The sequence below is a fragment of the Homo sapiens genome, chromosome 22 (assembly GCF_000001405.40).
Source record: "Homo sapiens chromosome 22, GRCh38.p14 Primary Assembly".
Lineage (NCBI taxonomy): Eukaryota > Metazoa > Chordata > Mammalia > Primates > Hominidae > Homo > Homo sapiens.
The window spans coordinates 36,130,648-36,139,899 of record NC_000022.11 but is presented as its reverse complement, the minus strand read 5'-3'; the positions used below and the strand labels follow the sequence as shown (position 1 = coordinate 36,139,899).

Here is a 9,252-nt window from a genome sequence, read left to right as displayed (position 1 = left end):
GAGGCAGGCGGATTGCTTGAACTCAAGAGGAGGAGGTTGCAGTGAGCCGAGATGGCGCCAATGCACTCCAGTCTGGGAGACAGAGCGAGACTCCATCCCCCGCGTCCCCCCCCCAAAAAAAAACAAGGAAGAGAAAAGCAAAACCAGATGCCAGGAACCAATCAAGGAACTTTGTGGTGCATTGAGGAGATGAACCAGCCTGCAGTCAAGAGACCCCGCCTCTCTGAGCCTCAGTTTCCTCATCAGCTGGGAAAGAGGGGCTGGACAAGATGATATCTCAGGTCCACCTGGCTCTCTCCTCTTGTGTTCTGGAGATCTGGGTTCAAGCAACACTGATCTATGCCTGTGCCTTTGTGGTGCTGATGGATGGGCTCCCCTGGGCTCTCGGTGCCTGACTTCACTTCCTCATGATCCTTCTTCCAGGGACTCAGGGAGCTAGGCCTCCATGGCCCCTTCTGCTTGTTCTTCTGGTCGGTCATTTCTGGGCGACCCCAGTGCCCAGTGGCCTGTGAGGCACTCAGGGAAAGCTTGTAGACATCTGGCTTGGCCCAAGTGCAGGCATGGTCCCCATCTAGCAGCCAGGGCCCACGAATGACATGGGTCACACAAGGCTGACTAAAATCAGAGGGGCCTGTGTGTAGGTTGAGAGAAAGTCCATGAGAAATAGAGGAACAGAGAGAGATAGCCAGACAGCAAACACCCTCATCCAGTCTGCAAACACCCTCATCCAGTCTGCAAACACCCTCATCCAGTCAGCCCTCTCATTTCACCCAGACTCCTGCAAAAGCTTCCAGAATGGTCTTCCCTGTTATACAGCCCTTGCCACTATCCCTGCCCATCCTCCACACTGGGCCAATTTGCCCCGTAAGAACATAGATTTCTTCAAGCCCATGCTTCCATGTCTTCAATGGCTTCCTATTACTCTTAGCACAAAAGCCCAGAGCCTTCATGCTGTCTAATGTAGGCTGCTGTGGCCTGAGTTCCCCTGAAGGGAGAGCCCTAGGCAAGGCTCCCAGGCAGAGGATTTGTTTGGGAAGTGATTCTAGGAGCAGGACTGGGGTACTGGGAGGAGTGACACAGAGAAGGACAGAAGGCTGATGCCGGGAGAAATTCTTGATAGGGTCACCCATGTGGGCGACTGGAGACCTCCTGAGGAGTCTTCAAGGAGCGTCTTCAGAATGTTCCTCTACAGGGAGGAGAGAGGGAGGCCTGTAACCACTGCTCCTGTCCCCCATGGCCTTGCCCCAGTGGACATTAATTATCTGTATTTCCATGCATAGAATATAGAACTGCTGGGCGCCTCAGCTGGAGCCCAGAGCAGGGGCAAGAGATACAGAATGCACAAAATCACCCCAGAACCTCTCCTAAGTCACTCGTAAAGTGCACCCAGGGCCTACTTAGTCCTTTTTTATGTAGCATCCTGCAGAACACTTGCCTCAGTCCCTGTAACTCTCCATCAGCCAAGGCTTCCCTGACCTTCAGTTGATTCATCTATTTCTTCCTGAAGAAGTCAACAGAGCAACGGCCACCGACTTGCCTAACGCCAGAACATTGTGTTTCATTTGTCTGTCAATTGTTCATCAATTCCTGGATAATTCCCATTCTTTTCATACATTTCACTTAAGCTTTGAATGTTTCTGGCACTGAGTAATTTACTTCTTCAGTGATCCAGCCAGCATTTGCCCTGACACTTAGAGTTGAAATGCCATCAGGCTACCTGCATTTGATGCAATTCCACTGTACTGCTAGTATTGTTTAAAAATTTTTCAATTGCAAGCAACAGAAACAGAAACTATCTGTCTTAAACAAAATAGAAGATTCATTGGATGAAAACTAGAGCAGGTCAGAGGATGGAAGGAAGAACAAAATCTACAGAATTTGGAAGGACAGGAGCAGACCATTACCAACATCAGGAATATATGGTTTGCCCTTTCAGGGCTCTGCCTGCACCTGGCTTAGCTCCACACACTTTGATTCCTAGTGTCTCTGATTAAAGTTTCACATACTCAGTAGACAGAATAGCTTGGGTTAGTGACTCTTCTTGAACTAATCAGTGAGGCTATGGTATCAGGAATGGGGATGGGTAACAGAGACACAAACCCTAATGGGAAGCCTCTGGCCAAACAGCCACCTGAATTTGTGCTCATTGTATACAGTCAATCGCTTGCTACTGCACACACACTCTTCTTCTCATACAAACAAAAAGAACTCTCCTTATCTGCTATGAACCCAGCCATCCCAAGGAAAAAGGCAAATGCACTTGCCTCTTCCCCAGTGAGAGCCACACACAGCATCTCCACCTTCTGCATGCTGAAGTTATGTCACAGGAGGAGGGCCTCAGCACACGATCAATTTTTCTTTTGGTCCATTGGCAGCTTCTGTCTCAGAATTTTTGTGTGTGTATATTTGTAGAAAATAAAGAGGTACGGTCAAGGCTACAGCCACTACTGACCATTGCTGCCACCATCAGAAGTCTTGAATTGTTCCACTCAATGTTCCTCTTACTTATGGGCAAAGTCATTCTCGTGGTGTCTAAGCTCCTTGATGGTCTGGCCTCAGTAAGTTGGTGAAATTTCCTATTCACATTTACACTAATACTCTAACACTTTAGAGTATTACAAGGAGCAATCCTAGGGGATCCCTCAATTCCTCCTGTCCTGCTGTGTAATAACAACATGAGCTTCCCTGGAGGAACATGATGCATGATTATATCCAACCCAGTGACGTCATTGCTATCCCTACATCAGGGAGCATGAGAAGCCAGCTATGGTTTCTGCTGAAACAACTTTTGTCAACCTTAGATACTGAAACTTCCAGACCTAAAAGTCTGTGAGTTAGGAGTATGTATCATAAACAAAATTTTTGAAAGTGGTTTATTGTGGGTAACCATAGAGCTATCACCCTCATCTTAACCTCTGACTGCCCAGCTCCATGAATTCTGGCTATTACAGGAAATGGGGAAAATTCTGGGTATGGATTCAAAACATATCACATCCTAAGGGCAGCTCCCAGCCTCTGATATGGAGCTGAGTCCCCTTTGGGCCATTTCCATGGGACCTAAGGCTGTCATTTCCGGGGTTGAGATTCACTGGGTGCCAAGTGGTCAGCCTTGATGAGTGGGGTCCGTGTTGTGTGGTTACATAGAGCTCCACATTAGGCAAGTTGGTTAATGAGCCCATTCTGAAAATGTCAGGCTGCCTGGGGAACAGAGGAGATTTGAGCCTTAAAGAGTGACTTCTTCCCTTGTTTATTAACAGCCTCTGAGCCAGGCATGGTGACTCACGCCTGTAATCCCAGCACATTGGGAGACCAAGGCGAGTGGATCAGTTGAAGTCAGGAGTTGGAGACCAGCCTGGTCAACATGGTGAAACCCTATTTCTACTAGAAATACAAAAACTAGCCACCAGACATGGTGACGGGTGCCTGTAATCCCAGCTACTTTGGAGGCTGAGGCACGAGAATTGCTTGAACCTGGGAGGCAGAGGTTGCAGTGAGCCGAGATTGCACCACTGCACTCCAGCCTGGGCGATACAGTGAGACCCAGTCTCAAAAAAAAAAAAAAAAGAGTCTTTTTTGATGGTGGACATCTTCCAATGAGCATTCACATGGGACAGATTTTTTTTTAGTTCTACCGTTGTTCTGAAAGCTCTATGTATGTTCCTCTTCCCTAAAAATCTTTGTCACCAAGCCTCCAGATTTATTCCTTCTAAAATGTTGAAATTCCAGCTAATTCCTTAGTTGTTACCCAGGAAACAATGCAGATCCTGGTCCGAGGATGCAGCTCCTTCCAGGCAGCCTGGACTGTGAGGTGTGCTCCATTGCTCTTCAGGAACCGTCCTTGAGAGGCGTTCCACAGCAGGCCAGACCTGGGGGGAGCAGGTGGGCCAGGCGGAAAGCACAGCACAATTTGAGAGATGCTGAGTACTCATGACTCTGTGTAAGCACCTGAATTCAGCCCTCATGGTCTTTTCTGAGCTGTCAGTCATTTATCTCTATTTAGTCATTTTGCGAATTGGAGTTAGCTTCCTTCCCTCTACACTCAAAGACGGCATGTCAACATTTTAGGCCTCTGGGTGGAATGAACTCCCAGTTTCCTGGGAGGGAGCTGATTGGCATCTATTCGCCTCTTCCTAGTTTTGTGGGGTTTCCCAGCATGTGGAGTCATAGAGAAAGACTGGTCCCACCTTCTATGTAATGCCCAAGAGAATAGATGACTCTCTGTCCACCCCCACCCTGGCATCCAGGGCTTCTGGACAAGACCTAGGCTGGCTAATTGGCTGCTTCCACATGGGATCCTGAATCTGGAGCAAGTGAGGCAAAGCCCAGGGTGCTTAGAATCCATTCTCAGTGAGAGCAGCAGGACTGCCCGGGAGGGGAATAGAGACGGGGACGACCGAGTCCTGCACCAGCAGAGATGACGTCCGCAGGTGGCGGGGCAGCGCTGTGGCCGTGTCACTCCTCACAAAGCAGGGCTCTTGTGCTCGCAGCCTTCGATACCGTCTCACTGTCTTGGCTTCTATTTATCTTCCAAGCCAATTTCCAGCCTCCTACACACGTGGGGTTCTTCTGGTATCATTCCAGTGAATTTCATGTTGTTTTCTGCCCTAAGAAAACAGAGTTGGTACCTCTGCTCGACCAAGAAGCCTGATTGATACAGACTGAGAGCTGCAGGCTGTGTTTATTTGCTTCATTAACAAGAACAACTTAGGAATGGCAACTTCCATTGATGAGCTTCCTACTTTGTTCTGCGGTTGGAAAACAAACAGTTGTTTCCCTGTTGACGACTGGCCACACTGGAGAGGTGAACAGGTGAGTCACAGGAATCACTGCTTCTGCTCCCTTTAAATCTTGATGATGGCAGAAATCTCTGTAACTGCCTCTGTAACTCCTCCATGAAGTTGGTGTTGACTTTGAGTAAAATATTTAGGCAGGTATGTAAAACCAATGGCCTCCACTGGCGTATGTCACTGAAATAGTCCCCGTCCGTGGGTCTGGGTGAACAATCTGAAGCTTCCAAGAGTATTCTTTCCAGTTATCCACCCAGGAATTTGAAAAATGATGACCAGGTGAGGGTGGGACCCTGATGGACTTAATCAAAGGTAAACGAATATAGATATTCACTAATTACTTGTGCCCTATAATCTCCCCCTCTGACCCAGGCCTAAGAATTGGGTGACAAGCAGGGACTATCCAGCCTGATGACCTGTGACAGGTATCCACTCACCAGATTGGGGGTTTTGTAAAGTCAGTGGACTGTCTTCCAGCTCTATTTTGGAACCTTGTTCCTATCAAATGTCCCTTGAGCCATGATCATGCGCCCTCCTGGTGCGTGACCTGGCGCCCGCACTCTCTTTTCTTCTGGCAGTTACCTGCCTCCCCTACAGTCGGCCTCTTGGAATTTCTCCCACCCTAAAGAGACCAGAGTCCCAGCCCCTCCCCTATTATAGAGAGTTCCTGGTTATCCATTGACTCTTCTCGTTAAAGGAGCGGGAAATCTTTTGGGCCCTGGCAGGAAACAGCGTGGGCAGGAAGTGCTTGAGAAATCAAATCTAGCATTTCAGCCTCCTACACACTTTGAGTCCTCCTTCTTCTTCATCATGCCAACTAATTTCTGGCTTTTTATGTCACAAAGAAGTGATCAGCATTTAGTTGAGGGTGGCATGGCTAACACTGGGCACAGCTGGAATCCCAGCCTGCTGCTGGAGCAAACCGTGCCAGCTGAGGATGACCATGGCAAGGAAACCAAATGATGATTCCTCTTCCTTGCCGACCTCCGTCAGACCCCACCATGCAAATAAATGGTCTTCAGCTCTTCGGAGCTTTGACAGCGAGCTCTTTCTCCTGCTGCAGCATCTCACTCCTTTCCATTCTGCAGTTCACTCTCAAGGCCATACTGACTTGAACACTGGCTGTCTAGAAACAGAGAGGCAGGCAGCGGCAGACAGGAAGAGAGATGGAGCAGAGTCCTCCAGCGGGAGCTGCACCTCGGAAGCATCCTTAGATGCGGCTTGGAGTTGGGATCCTTCAATTCCCCTCAGGTATCCCTATTGCAATTTTCTGAATACATCTTGTGTTAGGCTAAATAACAGCCCCTGACAGATGTGGGTGTCCTAATCATAGGACTTGTGATTATGTCACCTTCCATCATAAAAGGGACCTCACAGGTGTGATCCAGTCAAGGATCTGGAGATGAGAGGTTATCTGCGATTATCTGGGTGGGCCCAAGGTATCCACAAGGGTCCTTATAAGGCGGAGACAGTAGGGTGAGAGGGAGAAAAGGAGATGAGATGATAGAAGGGGAGAGAAACTGAGAGAGATCAGAGGATGCTACAAGGCTGGCTTGAAGACGAAGGGAGAAGCCAGGAGCTGAGGACAGCAGGTGCCTCTAAAAGCTGGAAAAGGTAAGGGAATTGCTTCTCCCAGAGCCTCCCCAAGGAATGCAGCTCTACCCATGCCTTGATTTTAGAACTCTACTGGAAGAGAACAACTTTGTGTTGGTTCAAGTCACTGTGTCTGTAGGGCTTTGTTACAGCAGGAGAGGTACTAGCACACCACTCTGTCCCCATCAGGGCCCTCATGTGCGCTTAGAAGATCTAGTGAGGATGAAATTCATCATGTAACCAGAAACCTATAGAAACGGTTTCTGAATTTGTTTTTCATAGGAGAGTCAGCCAAAAATATCAACAGCCACAATTTATTGGACGCCTTCAGGAGAAATGTCAAAGGCCTTTGTCCAAAGTGAGTGGTCCTGCTTCATGTCCCAGCATTCCTTGTCCCCTTTCCACAAGCTGAGAGCAGGTGCTCCCCAGAATGAGGGGGGTGAGAAGGGTTCACTATTGCTCTGTCCACCTCTCAACACAAAACATGATTCTACCTGTACCAATTATCCTGAGGCTTTGTGGTCTGCAACCAACCCTTTGGTGCCAATTTTTCTATTAGGTAGGACCCTTTGGATGCAAGTAGAACATAGCAAAGCAAAACCAAGACAAAAGCAAATGCAAAAACAAAAACAAATGAAAAATCTTAAAAAATCTTCCCGCTACCTCAAGAGTGGAGGCATATATTTGAATGATCCAGAGAGAAAGCTCACAGAATTAAAGAAATCCTTGGGTGGGTGGGCGTGCGTGCACATTTTTTAAAAACAGGCTTAGGGAAGACCAGGGACCCAGAAAGCCTCAGGGCTCTCAGCGGTAGGGAACGAGCTACACTCAAGGCCTCAGCTCCACTGCCTGCTGCCTCCAAGGGTTTTCTTTCAGGTCCTCCAATTTCCAGGGGAGAGACTCAGATGGGTCCCGGGGGCTAGAGGACAGAGTAAAGAAGGCACTGTCACACCAGGGGGATGTGAGCTGAGCAGGCAGGCCCCCTAACCTGGGCCTTTTCGGAAGCCCCCTCCTCATCCCCGTGGGAGCAGTGGGGGAAAGGGGCCTCTGCCCCCTGCCCACCTCCCTTACTAGTGTCTCCCTAGCTGCTCCCTGCAGAGCCTAGGCTCTGCAGTCATGGGGTCCGCATTGTCCTGGTGGGTGGAGTGCCTGAGCCTCAAAAGCCCCACCTGTGCTTTTCACTCCCTACTGCATGATTGAGAAGCAGACCTACTTCGCGATTGAGAAGCAGATTAAGGCTTTCCCCTTCCCCATCAAGGTATCTTTTTTTCTTCCTTCTTTCTTCCTCAGACCCCATCTGGTGTCCCTTCTCTCCTCCTCTCCCGCTCCATTCACCTGCCCTCTGTCTCAGGTCTCTCTACCAGCGTCTGGCAGCTGGGGAGGCTGGTGGGCTGCCCTGGTCCCATGGCTGATTGGAAAAATCCTGTGGCTCCAGGGAGCCGGCTTTTTAGATGCTGGTGGGGAGGAGCCTCACCTCGCTTCCAGGCCTGCGTTTCACCCCAGGACTCATTAGGAGAATTTCTGCACCAGGGTTAGAAGAGAATTCATCGCATGTTTTCCCTACTGTAATAAGCGAGACCCTTCTTTCTTTCCTTGTGCCTGGCGACCACAGCAGGAAGGCAGGAAGGTGCCTGCAGATTCCCAGGAACAAAGCTGCTCCCAGAACCCTCACATAGTAGGGTGACTCTTAGGATAAGAAATGTATATCCACGGGCTAGGATTTGGGAACCAAGGGACGACGTGGCAATCCAGGGCTCGTAGTGAGGGTGCAGCAGCCAGGACTGGGGCAAAGACAGATGTCTGATGATTGTAAAATGAGATGATTTCTATTCAGTTCAGTTCTATGTGAGGCTGTACTCAAAAGAGGTGATGTTGTTATTCAGGCTTCCTAATCTTTGGTGAGTAAAACAATTGTTGATTCCCACAGCTTGTTTTCTTCTTGCCAGCTTTCTCCCATCGTGTGATAGACCAAAACCTTGAACTGGAAAATCTCTGTGGTGTTCTACAAGAGCTAGGGACCCTTAGGTGTGAGATTTGGAGACTTTCAATGGTTAGACTTGGCCTAAGCAGCAATAGATCAGTCACCCCAAATTCTCTCCTTTGTCTTCTTTTAATGTCGTCCTCCATCAAGGAAGGAACCAGATTGGGGCCAACCTTTCAGACGGATGTCCATGGGATGCTCGAGCTGCCTTTCCCCAACAAGTGGTGTCAACAGGGATCTGGAGAGGTCGTGTGCTGGCCTCCAGGGGGTACCCCAGGGAACGGTGGGATGTGAGAGTGACAGACCAGGAGGATGGGGGCCTTTATCAGTCAAGTGCTGTTCTGTCCCCACCATCCTTTAGCTGGTGAATAATCTCAGGGGGATTATTAAAAGCCCAGAAGCAAAGAAGCATTTGAAAGGTCCGTATCTAGGAGTCTGGTTTCTCAGAGGATCAGGGAGGGATAAGATTGGCTAAAAGACAGATTTGGGACTTACTATCAGAAAAGAATCACTAGGAAAATCTAATATTGGTACATGGAAAAGCAACATGTGGATTGAATGATGGGATTTCCTGTGAAGAAAAGGTAAGGCATGCAAGCCAGACAGGACAGAATGATGGGCGAAAATCAAGCCACGCACCTCAAACTCCTCTCGAGCTGAGATCCAGAAAGACAGGGGCATGGAATTGCTGCTGGGTCTGGCAGGGGGCAAGAGCCAAACAGATGAAGGGTACATGTGACTGCCATTCAGGGCCACGATAGAGGAAATGATCAGAAGTCACTTTCTAGAGGCTGTAGATGGGAGTTTGATAAGGACCATGGGGGACAGCTGAGATCTGGGCAGATTTGAGAAGGGAGAGCAGAACAGACTGCGTCAAAAGTGGATCCGTGA

General features: G+C 49.0%; 2 annotated features.

Moving 5' to 3' along the window:
- Positions 4,498 to 5,697: an enhancer, noted in NCBI's record as "MED14-independent group 3 enhancer chr22:36530251-36531450 (GRCh37/hg19 assembly coordinates)". NCBI's record gives its function as "activates an origin of replication core promoter dependent on BRD2, BRD4, P300/CBP and CDK7 cofactors, and independent of MED14, by STARR-seq in HCT116 cells {active_cell/tissue: HCT116}" and the evidence as "EXISTENCE:reporter gene assay evidence [ECO:0000049][PMID:35650434]".
- Positions 7,424 to 7,924: an enhancer, noted in NCBI's record as "H3K4me1 hESC enhancer chr22:36528024-36528524 (GRCh37/hg19 assembly coordinates)". NCBI's record gives its function as "activates a minimal SCP1, AML or CMV promoter by ChIP-STARR-seq in naive H9 embryonic stem cells {active_cell/tissue: H9 hESC(naive)}" and the evidence as "EXISTENCE:reporter gene assay evidence [ECO:0000049][PMID:30033119]".